We start from the raw sequence: 24650 nt of genomic DNA on the forward strand, positions 1-24650 counted from the left end.
TTGCGTTAGCCGCGACGATGGCGCCCCCCAGTGGCAGCAGGGAGGCTGTGGGGGTGCTGGGCGTTGCGGTGTGCAGGTTTTCTGGGAGGATACCTGGCGCCGACCTTGAAGGGACCCCAACGTGAGAGGGAAAGACGCCCGTGATGCCAAGGCTTGGGCAGCGGACAGCCAAAATCCTGAAACCCCGCGGTGCTCCCTGTGATTCACTTTCCAGAGGCCCCTCAGTGCCCCGACGCTGGCCCGGAGGGCGGTCGCTGACTGTCTTGAGACTGAAGCTCACTTTCGGATCCTGGGCGTTCTTGCCAGGTTTTTTTTATTAATACAGAGAAAACCAGTGGCTTTGTGACAGTTAGTTTTGAAACTCCCTGAGGAGGGCCGAGCGCAGTGGCTCACGCCTGTAATCCTAGCGCTTTGGGAGGCCGAGGTGGGCGGATCTCCTGAGGTCAGGAGTTCAAGACTAGCCTGGCCAACATGGTGAAACCCCGTCTACTAAAAATACAAAAAATTAGCCGGGCGTGGTGGCGGGCACCTGTAATCCCAGCTACTCAGGAAGGCTGAGGCAAGAGAATCGCTTGAACCCGGGAGGCGGAGGTTGCGGTGAGCCTAGATCGTGCCATTGCACTCCAGCCTGGGCAACAAGAGCGAAACTCAGTCTCAAAAGAAAGGGAGAAAGGGAGAAAGAGAGAGAGGAAGGGAGGAAGGAAGGAAGGAAGAAAAGAGAAAGAAAGAGTCCCTGAGGAGCAAGCAATTCCCTCAGCCAAAGAGGTAAGAACTGCAAAATTGATAAATATTGCATTTATCTTACCCCCACATTTTATTAAGAACATTTTCAAACATGCAGAAAATTTGAAACGATTGTGTGGGCCTGGCACAGTGGCTCACGCCTGTACTTTCTGCACTTTGGGAGGCTGGGAAGGGAGGGTCGCTTGAGCTCAGGAGTTTGAGACCAGTCTGGGCAACATAGTGAGAACTCGTCTCTACAAAAAAATTTAAAAAATTAACCGGGCTTCGTGGCGCGCGCCTGTAGTCCCAGCTACTCAGGAGTCTGAGGCGGGAGGATCCCTTGAGCCCGGGGATGTTGAGGAATGATTGTACCACTGCACTCCAGCCTGGACGACAGAGCGAGACCCTGTCTCACAAGAAAAAAAAAATTGTGTGAACACCCACGTACCCAGGCCCTGGGTTAGATAATTAATATTCGACAATATGTGCTTGATCCAAGTATCCATTATTGCATTTATTTCGATAGTAATTAAACAGGAGATTGAGTGACTATGGGCCAGCCGTGGAGGCTCATGCTTGTAATCTCACACTTTGAGAGGCTGAGGCAGGAGAATCACTGGAGCACAGGAGATCAAGCCTGCAGTGAGCTGTGATTGCACTTCAGCCCAGGTGACACAGTGAGACCCTGTCTCACAAGAAAAAAATAAAAATGAGTGACTAATGGATTCAAGCCAATTAGCATCTGCTTATTAGCACATATGCTTTCTAGTTACATAAACTGAGTCAAAAGATTTCATTTCTCTAAAATTTTGTCATTTAACCATCAGAGTAGAGTATAACATACAGGGATGTATGAGGACTGTATTAGCTAATACCTGTGTGCTCTGCATGGTAAACCTTCAATGCAAATCCACTGTTTAATTACTGAAGCACATTTCGGAAGAACTGCTACAAGTACAATTCCTAGATGCTAGCGAGAATGGCATAAATATTTAAAATAGTTTTAGTTATATATTATGAAATTTCCTTTCATACGTCTTCTACCATCAGTGTGAGAAGGTCACCGCCACCCACGTTCACCCAGCAGATACTCATGTTCTCTAAGCTTTGCATGTCTCTGTTGTTTTCTGTTGTTGTTTGTTTGTTTAAGACGGAGTCTTGCTCTGCTGCCCAGGCTGGAGTGCAGTGGCACTGAGAGGTGACAGCGTGCTGGCAGCCCTCGCTCGCTCTTGGTGCCTCCTTAGCCTCGGCGTATGCTCTGGCCATGCTCGGGTAGCCCTTCAGCCTGCCACTGCGCTGTGGAGCCCCTGTCTGGGCTGGTTGAGGCCGGAGCCTGCTCCCTCAGCTTGCCGGGAGGTGTGGAGGGAGGAGGCGCGGGCGGGAACCTGGGCTGCGCGCGCTGCGCTTGCGGGCCAGCTAGAGTTCCGGATGGGCGTGGGCTGGGCGGGCCCCGCACTCTGAGTGGCCAGCCGGCCCCGCCAGCCCCGGGCAGTGAGGGGCTTACCACCCGGGCCAGCAGCTGCGGAGGGTGCGCTGGGTCCCCCAGCAGTGCTGGCCCACCGGCGCTGCGCTCGATTTCTCGCCGGGACTTAGCTGCCTCCCCGCGTGGCAGGGCTCGGGACCTGCAGGCCGCCATGCCTGAGCCTCCCCGCAACCCCCGCCCTGGGCTCCTGCGCGGCCGGAGCCTCCCCGACGAGCGTCGCCCCCTGCTCCACAGCGCCAGGTCCCATCAACTGCCCAAGAGCTGCGGAATGCGGGCGCAAGGCGCGAGACTGGCAGGCAGCTCCACCTGCGGCCCTGTGCGGGATCCACTGGGTGAAGCCAGCTGGGCTCCTGAGTCTAGTAGGGACTTGGAGAACCTTTATGTCTAGCTAAGGGATTGTAAATACACCAGTCAGCACTCTGTATCTAGCTCAAGGTTTGTAAACACACCAATCAGCACTGTGTGTCTAGCTCAGGAGTTTGTGGATGCACCAATCAGTGCTCTGTGTTTAGCTAATCTAGTGGGGACTTGGAGAATTTTTGTGTCTAGCTCAGGGATTGTAAATGCACCAATCAGCACCCTGTCAAAATGGACCAATCAGCTCTCTGTAAAATGGACCAATCAGCAGGATGTGGGTGGGGCCAGATAAGGGAATAAAAGCAGGCTGCCCGAGCCCCCAGTGGTAACGTGTTGGGGTCTGCATCCACATGGTTGAGGCTTTGTTGTTTGGCTGTTTGCAATATATCTTGCTGCTGCTTGCTCTTTGGGTCCGCATTGCATTTATGAGCTGTAACAGTCAATACCAAGGTTTGCAGCTTCACTCCTAAGCCAAGGAGACCATGAAGCCACCAGAAGGAAGAGACTCCGAACACATCCAAACATCAGAAGAAACAAATTCCAGAGACGCTGCTTTTAAGAACTGTAACACTCACTGCAAGGGTCTGTGGGTTCATTCTTGAAGTCAGTGAGACTAAGAACCCACCATTTCCAGACACGCACAATCTCAGCTCACTGCAACCTCCGCCTCCTGGGTTCAAGCAATTTTTTTGCCTCAGCCTCCCGAGTACCTGGGACTATAGGGGCGCATCACCACACCCTGCTATTTTTTGTATTTTTAGTAGAGACGGAGTTTCACCATATTGGCCAGGTTGGTCTCAAAACTCCTGACCTCGTGATCTGCCTGCCTCGGCCTCCCAAAGTGCTAGGATTACAGGCGTGAGCCACTGCGCCTGGCCTGTTCACTGTTTTTGTGTAACAACTTACCACAAAATTACCAGCTTAAAAACCACATTTTTTTTCTTTTTTTTGGAGATGGAGTTGTGCTCTGTTGCCCAGGCTGGAGTGCAGTGTCACGATCTCGGCTCACTGCGGGCTCCGCCTCGTGGGGAAAGCCACGTGTATTTATTATCTCAGTGTTCTTGTGAGTCAAGAGTCTGGGCATAGCTTAACTAGGCCCTCTGTTTAGGATCTCCAGAGGTAGCAATCAAGCTGTCAGCTGGCTTCATTCCCATCTGTAGACTTGATTATAGAAGTATCTACTTTCATGTTCATTCAGTTGGCTGAATCCATTTCTTTTTTTTCTTTCTTTTTTTTTTTTTTTTATGAGACGGAGTTTAGCTCTTGTTGCCCAGGCTGGAGTGCAGTGGCGCGATCTCGGTTCACCGCAACCTCTGCCTCCCAGGTTCAAGCAATTCTCCTGCTTCAGCCTCTTGAGTAGCTGGGATTATAGTCATGCACCACCATGCTTGGCTAATTTTGTATTTTTAGTAGAGACAGGGTTTCTCCGTGTTGAGGGTGGTCTCGAACTCCTGACGTCAGGTGATCCACCTGCCTCGGCCTCCAAAAGTGTTGGGATTACAAGCCTGAGCCACCGCGCCCCGCCTGAATCCATTTCTTTGCAGCTGTAGAGCTCACAGTAGCTTCCTTTTTTCAGGCCACCAGCAAGAGTCTGTAAGTAAGCCTTCTTATTTATTTATTTATTTAGACAGAACCTCACCTCGCTTTGTCATTCAGGCTGTAGTGCAGTGGCGCAATCATACTTTACTACAGCCTTAACTTCCTGGGCTCAAGCATTTCTCCTGCCTCAGCATCTCAAATAGCTGGGATTACAGGCATATGCACCACCATGCCTGGTTAATTTTTTTTTTTTTTTTTTTTTGAGAGGGAGTCTTACTCTGTCGCCCAAGCTGGAGTGCAGTGGTGCGATCTCGGCTCACTGCAACCTCTGCCCCCTGGGTTCAAGCGATTCTCCTGCCTCAGCCTCATGAGTAGCTGCGATTACAGGCGCCTGCCACCACGCCGGGCTAATTTTTGTATTTTAGTAGAGACGGGGTTTCACTATGTAGGTCAAGCTGGTCTCGAACTCCTGACCTCAAATGATCTGCCTGCTTCGGCCTCCCAAAGTGCTGGGATTACAGGCGTGAGCCACCGTGCCTGGCCATGCCTGGCTAATTTAAAAAAAAATTTTTTTTGTTTAGCCAGGCTTGGTGGTGTGCACTTATAGTCCCAGTTACTTGGGAGGCTGAGGCAGGAGAATGGCGTGAACCCGGGAAGCGGAGCTTGCAGTGAGCCGAGATTGCGCCACTGCAGTCCGCAGTCCGGCCTGGGCGACAGAGCGAGACTCCGTCTCAAAAAAAAAAAAAAAAAAAAAAAAAAAAGATCAGTAGATACTGAGAAGGAGTTGGAACTGCAAAAGGTTTATTGGGGGGCATACCTCACACCTCTATTCACACCACATGAGCTAACATCCTGTTTGCTAAAGCTAGTCTCATGTGTTTTAGTCCCAAGTCAAGGAACAGGAAGAGGTTCTGTGTTAATTATCCACTGCTTTGTAAGAAATTACCCCAAAACATAGCTGCTTAGGCCAGGCACGGTGGCTCAAGACCAGCCTGGCCAACGTGGTGAAACCCTGTCTCTACTAAAATAAATTAGCAAAGCATGGTGTTGCGCACCTGTAATTCCAGCTACTCGGGAGGCCAGGGCAGGAGAATCATTTGAACCCCAGAAGCAGCGGTTGCAGTGAGCCAAGATTGCACCATTGCACTCCAGCCTGGGCAACAGAGTGAGACTGTCACAAAAACAAAAACGGGCCAGGCGCCGTGGCTCACGCCTGTAATCCCAGCACTTTCGGAGGCCGAGGCAGGCAGATCACGAGGTCAGGAGATTGAGACCATCCTGGCTAACATAGTGAAACCCCATCTCTACTAAAAATACAAAAAATTAGCCGGGCGTGGTGACAGGCGCCTGTGGTCCCAGCTACTCAGAGGCTGAGGCAGGAGAATGGCGTGAACCCGGGAGGCGGAGCTTGCAGTGAGCCGAGATCACGCCACTGCACTCCAGCCTGGGCGACAGAGCGAGACTCCGTCTCAAAAACAAAAACAAAAACAAAAACAAAAAACAAAAACATAGCAGCTTACAACAAGGGAAGACAACTTTTTCTGTAAAGGACCAGACAGTAAATATTTTAGGTTTGGGGGACTATATGGTCTCTGTTGCAACTGTCAACCTTGTTGTAGCACAACAGCAGCTATTGACTATACATAATACATGGGCAGAGCTGTATTTCAGTAAAACCTATGGACAGTTGAGTGTGGTGGCTCACACCTGTAATCCCAACACTTTTGGGGGCCAAGGTGGGAGGATCACTTAAACCCAGGAGTTCAAGACCAGCCTGAGCAACAAAGTGACACCCCATCCCTACAAAAATAAAAATAAAAAAACTTTATGGGCCAGGCGCGGTGGCTCACGTCTGTAATCCTAGCACTTTGGGAGGCCAAGGTGGGCGGATCACGAGGTCAGGAGATTGAGACCATCCCGGCTAACACGGTGAAACCCTGTCTCTACTAAAAATACAAAAAATTAGCCAGGCGTGGTGGTGGGCGCCTGTAGTCCCAGCTACTCGGGAAGCTGAGGCAGGAGAATGGAGTGAACCCAGGAGGTGGAGGTTGCAGTGAGCTGAGATCGTGCCACTGCACTCCAGCCTGGGTGACAGAGTGAGACTCCGTCTCAAACAAACAAACAAACAAACAAAAAACTTCATGGACACTGAAATTTGAATTTCATATAATTTTCACATCACAAAATATAATTATTCCTTTATTTTCAATTATTAAAAGATGTAAAAACTACAATTAATTGATCACAACCAGTTACAGATTTCTTTGTTCTTCTCCACTCCCACTGCTTCGTTTGACCAGCCAAAACAACAAAAAAAAGAATTTTAAAAAATATAAAAACTACTCTTAGTTCATAAGCCATCCCCTCCCCAAAAAGGCAACAGACGGGACCAGACCTGGAAACTATAGTTTGCTGACTCCTAGCAGTAACAAATTACCACAGATTTAGTGGCTTAAAACAAAATAAAGTTATTATCTTATAGTTCTGGAGGTCAGAAATCCAAAATGGGTTGGCTTTCCTTTGGGAGGCATGAGTGGAGAATACATGCCTTCCATTTTCCAGCTTCTAAAGGACACTTACATTGCTAGGTCTATGGCCCTGAGTCACTCCAACCTCTGCTTCCATCATCAAAACTCGTTTTCTGATTCTGACTCTTCTATCTTCCTCTTCCACATTTAAGTATCCTTGTGAATACACTGGGCCCACTCAGATAATCCAGGATAATCTCTGTATCTCAAGATTCCTAATTTATTCACATCTGTAAAAATTCTTTTGCCATGTGAAGTAACATTCACGAGGTTCTAGGGATGAGGATGTGGACATCTTTTGGAAACCATTACTGAGCTCACTACACAGTCCAAGAAGGCCTCTCTGAGGAGGTCAATGTTAATCTGACTTCTCAAGTAAAAGAAGGAGCCAACATACTGAGGAAGAGCATTTTGGTAGAAGGAGAGCACTAGCAAAGGCTCTGAGGTGGAGAGAATTTGGTACAATCAAGAAACCAGCCAGGCACAGTGAGTGGCTCATGCCTGTAATCCCAGCACTTTGGGAGGTCGAGGCCGACGGATCACTTGAGGTCAGGAGTTTGAGACCCGCCTGGCCAGTATGGTGAAACCCATCTCTACTAAAAATACAAAAATTAGCTGGGCATGGTGGCGCGTGCCTGTAATCCCAGCCACCTGGGAGGCTGAGGCACGAGAATTGCTTGACCCCAGGAGGTGGAGGTTGCAGTGAGCCAAGATCACGCCATTGCACTCCAGCCTGGGTGACAGCGAGACTCGTTCCCCAAGGAAAAAAAAAAAACAATAGCAGGCAGTGAAGACAGAATGGATGGGCAAGGGGAGAGAGCAGAAGAGTCAGGGGAAATCTGGCTGACATGTGCCAGGCCTTGTGCACCTTGATTAGGAGTTTGGGCTTCACCCTGAAGGAGACAGGAAACCAGAAGGGGTGGAGTTAACCTCGGGAGTGACATGATCTAATTTGCACCATTAGAAGGGCACTGCCTGATGTGTGGGGGAAGATCTCCAGCAGGCATTTAGTCACAGGCTTTGGAAATTCAGAAGCTGAGGGTTAGTGATCTCGACTTGGAAGTCATCAACATAACAGTCGAATGGTGAGGGATACAAGTCACCTCAAACAATTGGCCAAGAAACAGTCACGGTGATGCCATGCTAGGTACTGTTGCCAAGGAAATTAGCAAACAGATTTGGAATCTGCCTTTATGTAGCAATCAGCATAGTGAATGTGGATGTTCTACAAAAAAGCATAAATATTTGAGAGCAATGAGAAGTCACTCGTTGAATTTAAGCAAGAGAATTAAATGATCTAGTTTACATTTTAAGAGAGACAGGGTCGGGAGAGGGGGGAGGGATAGCATTAGGAGATATACCTAATGTTAAATGACAAGTTAATGGGTGCAGCACACCAACGTGGCACATGTGTACATATGTAACTAACCTGCACGTTGTGCACATGTACCCTAAAACTTAAAGTATATATAAATAAAAATAATAAAAAAAATAAATAAATAAATAAAAGAGACAGGGTCTTGCTGTGTCACCCAGGCTGGTGTGCAGTGGTGCAATCATAGCTTGCTGCAACCTTGGAATCCTGGGCTCAAGAAATCCCCCCACCTCAGCCTTCCAAGTAGCCGAAATCATAAGTGCACACCACCACACCCGGCTAATTAAAAAAAAACTTTTTTTGTAGAGACGGGGGTCTCACTGTGTTGTCCAGGCTGGTCTCGAACTTCTGAACTCAAGTGATCTTCCTGCCTTGGCCTCCCAAAGTGCTGGTATTACAAGGGTGAGCCACCACACCTGGCCTGATTTCCATGTTTGAACGGTTGCACTGGTTGAGTGTTGGGATGGTGTCATGAACAGAAGAGGAGATGATGATGAAAGCACTACTGTGTAGTTCAGTCAAGAAGTGTCATGACTTGGAACCGGATGAGTCAATGGAAGTAAAAAGGGGATCATTTCAATGTATGTTTAAGGTGGGCTCAGAATTTGGTGATTGATTCAAAATGGAAGTGGAAGGGTCCATGGCTACTGGCATGAGCAACTGTGATGCAATCCATGGACAGGAGAAACCTGGGAGAAGAGGAGGTAGAGCATGAGAGTAGAACTCAGTACTGACAAGGTATGGTTGTAAAATGAATAGACACTCCCAGCAGGCAGTATGAATATGGTGAAATATGTCCATGCTCAGAAAAGAATCTGGAATGAAGCTACAAATTGTGATTCATCAATGTTCAGATGGTGTTTGAAGCCAGCAGAATAAAACAGACCATACTGGTGGATGAGAGAAGAGGGCTCAGGACAAGCCCCCAAAGCACTGGGGTCCAGAAGAGCATCTTGAAAACAGCGTGAGGAGACTGGGCGCGGTGGCTCACGCCTGTAATCCCAGCACTTTGGGACGCTGAGGCTGGTGGATCACGAGGTTGGGAGATCGAGACCATCCTGGCTAACATGGTGAAATCCCGTCTCTACTAAAAATACAAAAAATTAGCTGGGCATGGTGGCGGGCGCCTGTAGTCCCAGCTACTCAGGAGGCTGAGGCAGGAGAATGGCGTGAACCCAGGAGGCAGAGCTTGCAGTGAGCCAAGATCGTGCCACTGCACTCCAGCCTGGGCGACAGAGCGAGACTCCGTCTCAAAAGAAAAAAAAAAAAAAAGAAAGAAAGAAAAAGAAAAGAGAGTGAGAAATGACTACTAGCAGAGATTGATCTATTTTCCTATCAGCCACCTGGAGAGACTGGGCTTATTCTTATTTGCTCAGTCGCTCCTGGCAAGACAGATTTGGAAACAAATCAACATGCTTTCGATGTGCTTAATACCAGCATTTTCTCTCCAGCTCTTAAAATTATGGTTTTTTAATTGATTGAACAAGCCATAATTTATTCAGTGAACAACTGTAGGGGATGTACAAATGTATCTGGTTTTTTTTTTTTTTTGGATTGTGAAACTATCATCAAAAGCAAAGAGATAACCAGGAAGGAAGACATTTGTCTGAAAACCATATGCCAGGCCAGGCGTGGTGGCTCATGCCTGAAATCCGAGCACTTTGGGAGACTGAGGTGGGTGGATCACAAGGTCAGGAGTTTGAGACCAGCTTGGCCAACACGGTGAAACCCCGTCTCTACTAAAAAAAAAATACAAAAATTGGCTGGGCATGGTGGCGTGTACCTGTAATCCCAGCTACCTGGGAGGCTAAGGCAGGAGAATTGTTTGAACCCAGGAGGCAGAGGTTGCAGTAAGCCGAGACTGCGCCACTGCCCTCCAGCCTGGGTGACAGAGGACGACTCCGTCTCAAAACAAAACAAAACAAAATAAAAACAACAACAACAAAAATGCCATCCTGAAAGTGGAAAGATTCACAAAGAATGAGCTTCATTTCTTCACATTTGGAAGAAACCAGGACTGTAAGGTCCACTTAGAGAAGCAGAAGGAGGACCAGGAGAGATGAGTCAAACAAATGATGCTTGAGGAACACTGATTCAGGAATGAGGTTGCAAGAATAAGAAATGCACAGCTAATGTTAAGTAGAATTCAAGCCTTCTTCCACTAAACAATATTCTTTTTTGTTTTGTTTTGTTTTGTTTTTGAGACAGAGTCTTGCTCTGTCACCCAGGCTGGAGTGCAGTGGCAGGATCTCAGGTCACTGCGAGCTCTGCCTCCCGGGTTCATGCCATTCTCCTGCCTCAGCTTCCAGAGTAGCTGGGACTACAAGCGCGCGCCACCACACCCAGCTAATTTTTTGTATTTTTAGTAGAGACGGGGTTTCACCGTGTTAGTCAGGATGGTCTCGATCTCCTGACCTCATGATCCACCCTCCTTGGCCTCCCAAAGTGCTGCCATTACAGGCATGAGCCACCGCGCCTGGCCTTGTTTTTGTTTTTTGAGACAGAGTCTCATTCTGTCACCCAGGCTGGAGTGCAATGGCATGATCTTGGCTCACTGCGACCTTCACCTCCTGGGTTCAAGCAATTCTCTGCCTCGGCCTCTCAAGTAGCTGGGATTCAGGCACCCGCCACCACACCTGGCTAATTTTTGTATTTTTAGTAGAGACAGGGGTGTCGCCATCTTGGCCAGGCTGGTCTTGAACTCCTGACCTTGTGATCCACCCACGTTGGCCTCTCAAAATGTTGGGACTACAGGCGTGAGCCACCGTGCCTGGCCCACTAAACAATATTCTTATCAATGAATACCACTACATACATGACTCATTGTAAAACAACATTCAGATTTAATAAACCATAAATGCACAGGGAAAAACCCCTGAAAATTATGATTTTGGGAATGCTTTTGGTCAAAACACTCAACTTCTTAGACTTGCAAACAGTTCAGTGTAGAAAAGCCTTATATATGAAATATACGTAGTAAATTTTTTAAGTGTAGCACAAGTCTCAGTCAATGTAAGCGAATTCATGTTAGAGAGAGTTGAGTTGAATGTAAGGAATGTGGAAAAGTGTATTCAGAGCTCCTCTCATCTTTGTTTTGAGAGCACTCACACAGTTGACAAACCCTCCAGATGTTCTGAATGTGAGAAATCCCTGTTTATGGTAAATACTTTCTGACATCAGAGAAGTCATACTGGAGAGAGACCATATAAATGTAGTATGTGTAAAGAAGTCTTTAAACAGAGCTCAACCCCACTGATGTATGAGCAAACTCTCTCAGGAAATAGACCTTACAAATGTGTTGAGTGTTGGAGAGTCTTTATTAAGAAATATTTCTTTCAGTATGTTTCAGAACTTATACAGGAGAACAATACTATAAATGTAATCGCTGTAGCAAAGGCTGTAGACACAAATTATACCTTATTCAATATGAGACAATTTATACTTGTGGGAAATTATATATTTGCAGTGAATTTAGGAAATTCTTCTAAAGAAGTGAACACTTTTACCCTATAGCTAAGAATCTATAGAGACACCTTATGAAGGGAATCATTCAGGGAAAGGTTTTACACTTTGCTCCTCCACTACTCAAAAATCACAGAAGACACACTGGAGAGCAAAGTGATGGATACAGTCATCGTGGGAAAGGCTTCAGACGTAGCCTAGCCCTTATGATGTGACATCAGAGGACTCATACTGAGGAAAACCCCATACATGTAATTTGCGTGGAAGAGCATTCAGGAGTTGTTCTCATATTATTGAACGTAAGAGGACTCATACTGGAGAACACTATGAATGCAGTCAGTATTGGCAAGCTTTCAACCATGGCTTTTACCTTATTTGACACCAGGAAATTCAAACAAATTAGAAAAACTCATTGAAAAAAGATCAATGTGGAAAAGCTATTGGTTGGAATTCCATTTTATTTGACATCAGGGATAAAGGAGGCAAAAGCCACCAGTTATTTTTTAACTCTTAAGTATCTGAATGTAACAAGACTGCAAACTTGTGACTCCCTGCAGCCACAGATCAGCAGGGATAAGCAGTTCTATTCTACATATGTCCCTAATTTGCCATAGAAACACCATTTAATGGGGACTCAGGGTCTAGGCCTGATGAACAATGTCTCATAGAAATGTCTGGCCATATGCGGCTGGGCACAGTGGCTCACGCCTGTAATCCCAGCACTTTGGGAGTCCGAGGCGGGTGGATCACGAGGTCAGGAGATCAAGACCATCCTGGCTAGCACCGTGAAACCCCGTCTCTACTAAAAATACAAAAAAAAAAAATTAGCTGGGTGTGGTGGTGGGCGCCTGGAGTCCCAGCTACTCAGGAGGCTGAGGCAGGAGAATGGTGTGAACCCAGGAGGCAGAGCTTGCTGTAAGCCGAGATCGTGCCACTGCACTCCAGCCTGGGTGACAGAGCAAGACTCCGTCTCAAAAAAAACAAGAAAAAAAGAAAAAGAAAAAGAAATGTCTCCCATATGCCTGTAATCCCAGCTACACAGGAGGCTGAGGCAGGAGAATAGCTGAACCCAGGAGGTGGAGGTTGCAGTGAACCAAGATCACACCACTGCCCTCCAGCCCGGGCAACAGAGCAAAACTCCATCTCAAAAAAAAAAAAAAAAATGGTTGCCATAGATAATCATGGCTGGGCACAGAGGCTCACACCTGTAATCCCAGCACTTTTGGAGGGCAAGGCAGGTGGATCACTTGAGCTCAGGAGTCCAAGACCAGCCTGTGCAACATGGAGAAACCCCGTCTCTAATAAAAATACAAAAATTAGCTGTGCGTGGTGGTGCATTCCTGTAGTCCCAGCTACTTGGGAAGTGAGGACTGCTTGAGGGGGTCAAGGCTACAGTGAGCTGAGATGGTACCACTGCACTCCAGCCTGGGTGACTAAACGAGACCCTGTCTAAAAGAAAAGAAAAGAAGAGAAATGGTTGTCATAGGTAATCACATGTAAATTTTTTTTTTTTTAAAGAGTGAGCAACAGTAAGATTTATTGCAAAGAGCGAAAGAACAAAGCTTCCACAGTGTGGAAGGGGACCCAAGCGGGTTGCCCATAAATGTTATCAGTGGCAACAGCGTATCTGTTTTTCTACATCACGTATGAATAAAAGAACCGTCAACCTTGAAGAATGGTGCAGGAATCATATGGCAACAGCGTATCTATTTTTCTACATCACGTATGAATAAAAGAACCGTCAACCTTGAAGAATGGTGCAGGAATCATACACCTTTTAGCATCATGGGGATCCTTATGTGTATAATTTTATGATAGTCCTAGATGAGGGCTGAAGGATATGCTATCAATTTTTTTCTGCATAATCCAAATATTATCACTCCAAACAAATCAGAGAGCTTTATACTAACTTGCTAATACTTTGCCAATAGCATTCTTCTATCTACTTGAATAGAAGCATCATAAAGAGTTGTATGTTGGCCAGGCACGGTGACTCACACCTGTAATCCCAGCATTTTGGGAGGCCGAGGCAGGAGGATCACCTGAGGTCAGGAGTTTGAGACAAGCCTGGCCAACATGGTGAAACCCTGTCTCTAGTAAAAATAGAAAAATTAGCTGAGTGTGGTGGCACATGCCTGTAATCCCAGCTACTTGGGAGGCTAAGGCAGGAGAATCAGTTGATCCCGGGAGGTAGAGGTTGCAGTGAGCCAAGGTTGTGCCATTGCACTCCAGCCTGGGTGACAAGAGCAAAACTCCATCTCAAAAAAATAAAAAAAATGAGTTGTACGTATCTTCACATTTCTAAGGGCATGTCCAATGTCTTGGCAGGGTTAAAAAGACATCATAGTCTGGTGAAGTACCCATACTCCAAAACTAGTGCAAACTTCACAAGTTTCATTGCAAATCCCTTACAAAGAGCACAGGGTATGTATAAGCAGCATTGGTTTCTCTTCTGAAACCCTGGACACTAGAAGATAAGTGAAGATTCCAGAAACACAAAGACTCTGATTTCAGGATTTGATGCTCAGCAAATATATCATTCACACATATGAGGAGAGAGTAAGCATTTTCAGACCTGTTAGCATTCAAAATTTGTATTCTTTCTGGAAAAACTGCCCAAGAGAACATAATAGTAATTTCTTACAATGGAAGTATGAGCCATGTCCCCAAAAGACATCTAAAAGGACACTCATAGAAGCATTAGTCATAAGGGGCCAAAACTGGATACAGCCCAGCAGTCCATCAATAATAAAATGTATAAACAAAATGTGGTACATCCATAGTGGAATACTACTCAGCAATTTACCAAACATTAACTACTGATACATGCAGCAACTTGGATGAATCTCTAACACATTATGTTGACACAGAAAACCATAGACTATATGATTCCATTTATATGAAGTTTGAGGACAGAAAAAAAACTTATGATGATAATCAGGATAGTGGTTAACTCTGGGAGATATTAACCAGGAAGTGGTACAGGGTTTTGGAAATATATTTTCTGTTGACCTGTGTGATGGATTTTTATATATGGACATTATATATTTATATATTTAGACATATATAAAAAAACTCATCAAGTTGTGAAGTTGAGGACTTTATGCCTATATATATGTTTATGTGTATATATATGTTTAAAGCTTATATAGTTTATGTATATAAAGGTTACATATAAACTTTAATTTAATTAATTAATTTTTTGAGACAACAGTCTCACTCTGTTGCCCAGGCTGGAGTGCAGTTGTGTGATCTCTGCTCACTCCAGCCTCTGCCTCCTGGGTTTAAGTGATTCTCCTGCCTCAACCACCTGAGGAGCTGGGATTACAAGCAAGCACCACCACACCTGGCTAGTTTTTGTATTTTTAGTAGAGACAGAGTTTCACCATGTTGGCCAGGCTAGTCTTGAACTCCTGATCTCAAGTGATCCTAATGCCTTGACCTCCCAAAGTACTGGGATTACAGGTGTGAGCCACCGTGACTGGACTAAACTTTAATTTTAAAAGTTTTAAAACGGCCGGGCGTGGTGACTCGTGCTTGTAATCTCAGCACTTTGGGAGGCCGAGGTGGGCGGATCACGAAGTCAGGAGATCAAGACCATCCTGGCCAACATGGTGAAACCCCGTCTCTACTAAAAAAATACAAAAATTAGCCAGGTGAGACGGTGCACGCCTGTAGTCCCAGCTACTTGGGAGGCTGAGGCAGGAGAATTGCTTGAATCCAGGAGGTGGAGGTTGCAGTGAGTCGAGATTGCGCCACTGCACTCCAGCCTGGGCGACAGAGTGAGACTCTGTCTCAAAAATAAATAAAGAAAGAAATAAATAAAAGTTTTAAAACTATATGCAAGCTGGCCGGGCACAGTGGCTCACGCCTGTAATCCCAGCACTTTGGGAGTCCAAGGTGGGCGGATCGTGAGATCAAGAGATGGAGACCATCCTGACTAACATGGTGAAACCTCGTCTCTACTAAAAATACAAAAATCAGCTGGGCATGGAGGCGAGCATCTGAAGTCCCAGGTACTCGGGAGGCTAAGGCAGGAGAATCACTTGAACCCAGGAGGCAGAGGTTGCAGTGAACCGATATTGCGCCACTGCACTCCAGCCTGGCGACAGAGTGAGAGTCCATCTAAGGAAGGAAAGGAAAGGAGAGGAGACGGGAGGGGAGGGGAGAGAAGGGAAAGGAAAGGAAGAAGGGAAGAATAGAGGGAAGAGAGGAGGGAAGAGAGAAGGAGAGAAAGAAGGAAAGAGAGAAAGAAGGAAAGAAAGAAGGAAAGAAGACCTATATGCAAGCTGATGGGATGATGGGATCCAAAGGACTTATGCTGCCATTTTAAACAGTCTCCAAACAAAGACAAAACAAATGCCTCTGCCACTGCTGTGCTATGAGTCAGGATGCTTGCTGGGCTGGTAGCAGCTAACCCACGTCATCAGATAATGTTTACTCACATGCCTGGAGAGTTAGCCAGAATAGCTTCAGGATCAGTATGAGCCAGCAGCTCAACAATGTCTCCAAATACTCAATTTCCTTCCACCCTTCCCCTCAGTGGTCTGCAGTATTGATTATTCTTAAATTGGCTCCCACTGACAGCCTTATGGCTCAGCTTCTTCTTTTTTTTTTTTTTTTTTTTTGGAATGAAGTTTCACTCTTGTTGCCCTGGCTGGAGTACAATGTCGCGATCTCGGCTCACTGCAACCTCTGCCTCCCGGGTTCAAGCGATTCTCCTGTCTCAGCCTCCCGAGTAGCTGGGATTACAGGCGCCCACCACCACGCCCGGCTAATTTTTGTATATTTAGTAGAGACGGGGGTTTCACCATGTTGACTAGGCTGGTCTTGAACTTCTGACCTTAGGTGATCCACCCGCCTCAGCCTCCCAAAGTGCTGGGATTACAGGTGTGAGCCACCACGCCCGGCCAATATGGCTCAACTTCTTTCAAGAGACTGGGCTTTTTTTTTCTGTATTAGTTTCCTATCACCACTGTAACAAATTACTACAAACTCAGTGTCTTAAAACAAGAGATAAGAGAAATATTAAAGTAAGACAAATAGATTCTCTCATTTCTGGAGGCCGGAAGCATGAAATCCATACCTGGGCCAAATTCAAGCCTTGGAGGCTCCAGGAGAGAATTCATTCCTTGCCTCTTCCAGCTTATGGTGGCTGCTGGCTTTTTTTTTTTTTTTTTTGAGACGGAGCCTTACTCTGTTGCCCAGGCTGGAGTGCAGTGGTGTGATCTTGGCTCACTGTAATCTCCCCCTCCCGGGTTCAAGCGATTCTCCTGCCTTAGCCTCCCGACTAGCTGGCATGACATGCGCATGTCACCACATCCAGGTAATTTTTGTATTTTTATTTTTAATTTAATTTTATTATTTTTTTATTTTTTGAGACAGAGTCTTGCTCTATCACCCAGGCTGGAGTGCAGTAGCACGTCTCAGCTCACTACAACCTCTGCCTCCTGAGTTCAAGCCAGTCTCCTGCCTCAGCCTCCCCAGTAACTGGGGTTACAGGCGTGCAACACCACGTCCAGTTAATTTTTAAATTTTTAGTAGAGACAGGGTTTCATCATATTGGCCAGGCTGGTCTCAAACTCCTGACCTCGTGATCCACCCCCCCTTGGCCTCCCAAAGTGTTGGGATTACAAGCGTGAGGTACCCCGCCCGGCCTATTTTTATTTTATTTTTTTATTTTTTTGAGAGGGAGTCTTACTCTGTCACCCAGGCTGGAGTGCAGTGGTGTGATTTTGGCTCACTGCAACCTCCGCCTCCCAGGTTCAAGCAATTCCCTGCCTCAGCCTCCTGAGTAGCTGGGATTACAGGCGCCTGCCACCATGCCTGGCTAACTTTTGTATTTTTAGTAGAGACGGGTTTTCACTATCTTGGCCAGGCTAGTCTTGAACTTCTGACCTTGTGATCCACCCGCCTCAGCCTCCCAAAGTGCTGGGATTACAGGCATGAGCCACTGTGCCCAGCCAACTTTTGTATTTTTAGTAGAGACGGGGTTTCATCATGTTGGCCAGGCTGGTCTCAAACTCCTGGCTTCAGGTGATCTGCCTGCCTCGGCCTCCCAAAGTGCTGGGATTACAAGCATGAGCCACTGCGCCCGGCCTGCTGGCATGTTTTGACTTGTGACTGCACAGCTCCAGTCTCTGCCTCCACGGTCACATCACCTTCTCCTTTTCTGCCTATGTGTGGTCACATCTGTCCCTGCCTCCCTCTTGTAAAGATACATGTGATTACATGCACAATCCAGGATCATCTCCCCTCTCAAGATCTTTAAATACATATGCAGCCCCTGTCTCTACATAACGCAACATTCATAGGTTCCAAGAATTCAGGCCTGACATCTTTGGGGGACATTTTTCAGCCAAACACACTCTCCTAACTTTTAATCAAAGTCCTGGGCTTCACTCTCCGTCCATGTTCATTGCTTTGACACTTGTCATGGACAGGAGGGTGCCTTGCACTGACTGGCTTGGACCAGAGTGCTTGCATGCCCCTGGATTAATCACTGCAGCAACGGAGACAGAATGAGGCCAGTGGGCCATCCACTGGAGCTGAGATTGAGGGGCAGCTTCACCCATAGCTGCCCAAAAGGGTATCTGGGGTGTTCTGAGGGTGTTCTGGGGTGTATCTGAGGAAAGGGATGAGTGGAAAGGTCTCACAAATGAATCTTTTTTTTTCTTTTTTTTTGAGATGGCGTTTCACTCTTTTTTGATGGGCATTGCCCAGGCTAGAGTGCAATGGCGCGATCTCAGCTCACCACAACCTCTGCCTCCCGGGTTCAAGTGATTCTCCTGCTCAGCCTCTCCAGTAGCTGGGATTACAGTCATGTGCCACCACGCCTGGCTAATTTTGTATTTTTAGTAGAGATGGGGTTTCTCCACGTTGGTCAGGCTGGTCTGAAACTCCCGACCTCAGGTGATTTGCCCACCTCAGCCTCCAAAAGTGCTGGGATTACAGACGTGAGCCACCGCGCAGCCTCACGTGAAAAAGACTTTTCTCTCAATTTCACAATCTGTCTCTCTGTCTCTCTCTCTCTGTCACGTTTTGAAATTCTGGCTTCCCTCCTATACCCAAGGGAGAGCTCACACTTCTCCCTTACCTGAGCGAAATGCCATCTTTCCCTTCCAGCACCCCATTCAATCCTCCACCAGGGTCCCCATGTCCTGGTAGCTGCTCCCTGGATGTTGGGACTTCACTCAGTTCCATTTTTTTTTTTTTTTAGGAGACAGGGTCTCACTCTGTTGCCCAGGCTGGAGTGCAGTGGCCTGATCATAACTCACTGCAGCCTTAATCTCCCGGGCTCGAGAAATCCTCGCACCTAAGACTCCTGAGTAGTTGGGATTACAGGCACATGTCACCATGCCCAGCTAATTTTTAAATTTTTTTGGTAGAGATGGAGTCTCACTATGTTGCCCAGGCTGGTCTTTAACTCCTGGCCTCAAGTGATCCTCCTGCCTCAGCCTCCTAAAGTGCTGGGATTGCAGGCATGAGCTGTTGACCCTCAGTTCCAGATCTTTGCTGGCAGCAAGTCCGGAAACTTCCATCCGGATCTGGTTTGTGGCCTTATAACTTAATGTGAGGAGAGGTCTCTGGGGTAGATGGGCTCCACCCAAGCAGACTTTTGTGCCAGCTACTGTGGCTGTGCCACCCACCTTCATTGCAGCACAGTCTGGCGCCTTCTACAGATGCCAAAAAAACCAGTTACACTCTTTTCCAGCTTTTCTCCCAGCCAGGACATGGATGCATGTGTCAATCCTGGCTAACAGGGTCAGAGCGAGTCAACAACAGAGAAGTCTTCCGAAAATGTTGTATTACTTTTTTTTTTTTTTTTTTTTTGAGACAAAGTCTCACTCTGTTGCCCAGGCTGGAGTGCAGTGTCGCGATCTCGGCTCACTGCAACCTCCATCTCCCAGGTTCAAGCGATTCTTCTGCCTCAGCCTCCTGTGTAGCTCGGACTACAGGCGCGCACCACCACACCCGGCTAATTTTTTGTATTTTTAGTAGAGAAGGGGTTTCACCGTGTTGACCAGGCTGTTCTCGAATGCCTGACCTCGTGATCTGCCCGCCTCAGCCTCCCAAAGTGCTGGGATTACAGGCGTGAGCCACTGCGTCCGGCCAAAATGTTGTATTACTTCTTTGTGGTAGGGAGAGTAATGCCCCCTTTCCTTCAGAGATGTCCTCATTCCAAACCCTGGAACCTATACATATGTTACCTTCGCATGGCAAAGGGGACATTGAAGATGCCATTAAGGATCTGTTTTTGTTTTAGAGACAGGGTCTCACTCTGTCACCCAGGCTGGAGTGCAGTGGTGTGATCATGGCTCACTGTAGCCTGGAACTCCTGGGCTCAAGCGATCCTCCTGCCTCAGCTTCCTGAGTAGCTGGGACCACAGATGCATGCCACCACACCCAGCTATTTTTGTTGTTGTTAAGACACGGTCTTGCTCTGTTGCCCAGACCAGTCTCAAACTCCTTGGCTCAAGCAATCTTCCTGCCTCAGCCTCCCGAAGTGTTGGGATTACAGGTATGAGCCACCATGCCTGGCCAGATTCTTGAGATGGGGAGATTATTCTGAATTACTTGGGGCGGGCCCTATTTAATCAAATGTCTTTGTATAACTTGAGGCAGGAATCAGAGTAGATGATGTGATGATGGAATGAGAGATTTGAAAATGCTACACTGCTGGCTTTAAAATTGGAGGAAGGGGCCATAAGCCAAGGAAGGCAGGTAGTCTCTAGAAACTGGAAAAGGCAAAGAAATGGATTCTCTCCTAGACCCCCCAGAAGGACCACAGTCCTGCTGACATCTTTATTTTAGCCTAGTAAGACCCATTTTGGACTTCTGACCTCCAGAGCTGTGAGACAATAAATTTGTTGTTGTTTTAAGACACAAAGTTTTGGTAATTTGCTACAGTGGCAATAGAAAGCAAATACACTTCCTGATGCCAACTTCTTCAGCCAAATGTTGCACGGCTAAATGCTAGACTTGGAACTGTAATCACCATCTTAGGACTGCAAAGACGTGTGCCTCAGAAAGAACCAAGGCCATACACTGGGGAGGGCTGAGCCAAAGGAGGGACAGTGACTGGTTACAGCTCATACTTGAGCCCAGGGGTCAACCGTAGAAGCCCTTACATCTGGATTTAATTACATTTTTTATTTTGTAATTTTTAGTTTTATTTGTGCTGAGACAGAGTCTCTGGAGTGTAGTGGTGCGACTACAGCCTCAACTTCCCAGGCTCAGGCGAACCTCCCACCTCAGCCTCCCGAGTACCTGGATTACAGGTGTACACCACCACACGCAACTAGTGTTTTGTTTTCGTAGGGATGGAATCTCACACAAAAAACTGGGCAAGTATGTTCCCCAGGCTGGTTTTGAACTCCTGGGCTCAAGCAGTCCTCCCACCTTGGTCTCACAGTGTTGGGATTACAGGCATGAGCCACTGTGCCCAGCCTGGACTTAATGAAAAACAAACAAACAAACATTTTTTTTGAGTCAGTCTTGCTTTCTCACCCAGGCTGGAGTGCAGTGGTGTAATCTCAGCTCACTACAACCTCTGCCTCCTGGGTTCAATTAATTCTTATGCCTCAGCCTCCCAAGAAGCTGGGATTACAGGCATGCATCATCACACCTGGCTAATTTTTGTATTTTTAGTAGAGAAAGGTTTTTACCATATCAGCCAGGCTGGTCTTGAACTCCTGACCTCAAGCAGTCCACCCACCTCAGCCTCCCAAAGTGCTGGGATTACAGATGTGAGCCACTGTGCCCAGTCAGTGAAATTTAAGATCATGAATGGTGGCATACTGTCACTTCTGCCAAAACTACACCTTACATGATAACCCTTTCTTGCTCCCCACCAGCTTTTGCTCTCAAGTCTCGTTTGGTCATGCTAAGCCACAGTTTGGGGACTCCTAGGAGCAGCCATCACAGGTAACCAGTTCTGCTGGCTCAGGATGGCCCCTGCTGCCCTGACTCAGAGACACTTCCTGCAAGGCAGACATCTCATGCAGAGCAGAGGCCACTGCAGTCAGAAGGAAGGGCCTGGTAGCCTCAGAGGCACAGCCAAGGGGCTGCAACGATGGAAAGGAGATATTCCACAAGTCCAAGAGTGTGACATGGAAGCACACTCTGGGATGTGGTGGACTCAAGTGATCCATGCAGATGTGGATGCTGTCTCTCTTTCTCTGTTCATAGAGTGTGGCATGGGTCCTCTCTGGGTGAAAATAGGTGCCCAGAATTAATCACACACTTCCATTCAAAATAAACTGTGCCAACTTGCTGAACCACAAAATGATTTCCTCGCCATGGCCCCTAAATAACTCCGTGATAAGAACTGTATGCTATTGATGGCTCTGAAGTCCAAATTTATTGGCAAAAGCAAAGAACATGCCTGAACTAGTCATTTCTGCAGGCGTTTCTCCTTAAGATGAGTTTGAAGCCAATTGGTTATGTGAAGAATAGCAATCAGTTCTTTCTCACACTGGAGGAGGAGGAAGCACAAAAGAAAGTTCAAGGGTCAAGCCTCCCAAAAGGCTCTGTTATAATCCTATGTGCTCTTTCATTGTATCTAGTGATGAATTTGGGTAACTGACACTTTACTCATTGGCCATCTATCCTTGAACTTGATAAGCATTTTCATTTATGTAAGTTTACTTGTAATTCTTCCAAAACTTATCTTCACATTTCCCAACAAACTAATTTCAGACATTTTGTTTTTATGATTCTATTGTGACAGGAACCTCCATTTCAATATACTTGTTGCAGGTATAGATTTTGTGCATTGCTTTGTGGTGTTGATTTGTCCATCTTTTGTATTCTGCCTAGCTTATTGTAATCTTGATTTTTAAAGTTTTCAATTGGGTTTTTAAAGTATGTTAATGTTAATAAATGCATTTTTAGGTTTCCTTTCCCAATCATTACAGCACTCAGGTCTATTTCATATCAGATTGATTGATTTATTAAGACAAGGTCAAGCTCTGTCGCCCAGGCTGGAGTGCAGTGGCATAATCAGGGCTCACTGCAGCTTCAACTTCCTTAGCTCATGATCCTCCTACTTCAGCCTCTTGTGTAGCTAAGACTACAGGAGTGTGTCACCACATCCAGCTACATTTTTTGCTTTAATACAGATGAGGTTTTGCTACGTTGCTCAGGCTGGTCTTGAACTCCTGAGCTCAAGTGACCCTCCCGCCTTGGCCTCCCAAAGTGCTGGGATTATAGGTATGAGCCTGGCCTCATACTTTATTTGTAGTAACAAGAATATCTGGAAAATGTTCAGCATTGCTGAGAGCAGATTTCTGTCATTTTCGATGTGTGTATCCTCCACGGTTATTGAATGGAGGAATAAACAAGAAAAAGACTCAAGAAGAGAGACAGGAGTCAGTTCTCATCAGAGAAGAAAAGGTCGATTTCCTAAGGCAGGAAATATTGAGATGGGTTGTGTTCAGGACTAGCAGGAGGTGTGTGGCTGGCTTGTTCCTTGTCTACATCCTAATGGCCTAAAGAAAAGATGCCCCACACTAAGGACAGCAAGAGGGAAAGAGTGAGCCTCATCCTCCGTGACTTCAGTGGGCAGCTTAACCAGCACCAGAAAAGACCTATACTTGCAGATTTTCTTTGTGGGAAAACGGCGTTGGTTATTTGGGTTTTTATTTATTTCCAACCAAACATGCCTTAACGGATACAGGGTGCAAAGGCATGTACTAGATTATTCCAAACCTGCCTCACTGGTTTGTCCGGCATTCTGTGGACTTCCTGCATTCCTCTTTGAGGCAGGCCGTTTTCTGGAGGTTGTTTGTGATCGGCCTCTGCTCAGAGCCCAAATTCTTAGCCTTTCCCCCATGTGTTATGTCCAGTGTGGATTATCTTGATGGTGAGTTTACCTTTGATGTTGGGGAAAACAGGCAAAGAATGAATGAGCAGCAGTAACCAAAGAGCCTCTTTTCTGGGAAAAAAGCTATGATATTAATAATTTATAGTTCAAATGCACATTAATTTATCCATACTTCTGTAACCTTACATTCCCAAGCTCTCAGAAGTTCAGAGAGGTGTCCTCAAAGCTCACATTTCAAAGATGGAAAGACACATCTTTCTTCTTTTTAAAAATGATTTTAAAATGTATCCCCCTTTACATGGAACAATTTGAGATGCTCTGTGTGATGAAACAGAGACAGAGAATGATGAGTGGAGATCAAATCCTGGGTCCATGATTCAGTTGCACAGCTGGCTTAGGACTCAGTTGAACACCACTAGCTGCCATAATGGTCCAGCTGCCATAATGGTTTGGGCCAACTTATAGCTTTACATATTTTATTCTTAGTCATATGTTGTTTATTTATTATTTATTTATTCATTTATTTATTTTGAGATGGAGTCTCGCTGTGTCACCCAGGCTGGAAGGCAGTGGCACAAACTCGGCTCACTGAAAGCTCCACCTCCTGGGATCATGCCATTCTCCTGTCTCAGCCTCCCGAGTAGCGGGGACTACAGGCGCCCGCCACCATGCTCGGCTAATTTTTGTATTTTTAGTAGAGACGGGGTTTCACCATGTTAGCCAGGATGGTCTCGATCTCCTGACCTCATGATCTGCCCACCTTGGCCTCCCAAAGTGCTGGGATTACAGGCGTGAGCCACTGCGCCCGGCCATATGTTGTTTAATTTAAACCAACAGTAGACCATTGATTTAAAAAAGCATATGGGGCCAGGGGCAGTGGCTCACTCCTGTAATCCCAGCACTTTGGGAGGCCAAAATGGGCAGATCACCTGAGGTCAGAAGTTCGAAACTAGCCTGACCAACATGGTGAAACCCTGTCTCTACTAAAAATATAAAAATTAGCTGGGCGTCGTGGCATCTGCCTGTAATCTCAGCTATTAGGGAGAATGACGCAGGAGAACCGCTAGAACCCGGGAGGCAGAGGCGGAGGTTGCAGTGCCATTGCACTCCAGCCTGGGCAACAAGAGCAAAACTCCATCTCAAAAAAAAAAAGCACATGGAAAAATATTAATATATTTAAATAACTCAGTATCTCAATAAACCTATGCCTGACTATGTGGAATATATATATATTTGAGATGGAGCCCCCTTTAGTAGAGACGGGGTTTCACCATGTTGGCCAGGTTGGTCTCGAACTCCTGACCTCAGGTGATCCACCCACCTCAGCCTCCCAAAGTGCTGGGATTACAGGTGTGA

General features: G+C 46.5%; 1 long non-coding RNA gene across 1 annotated transcript; it reads left to right on the forward strand.

Moving 5' to 3' along the window:
- On the forward strand, window positions 1-22377 carry LOC124904784 (uncharacterized). The gene is made up of 2 exons (XR_007067360.1): window positions 1-765; window positions 21325-22377. It is a non-coding gene; the product is annotated as an uncharacterized LOC124904784 (long non-coding RNA).
- The last annotated feature ends 2273 nt before the right edge of the window (window positions 22378-24650 follow it).

The sequence above is a fragment of the Homo sapiens genome, chromosome 19 (genome assembly GCF_000001405.40).
Source record: "Homo sapiens chromosome 19, GRCh38.p14 Primary Assembly".
In the NCBI taxonomy this organism is placed as follows: domain Eukaryota; kingdom Metazoa; phylum Chordata; class Mammalia; order Primates; family Hominidae; genus Homo; species Homo sapiens.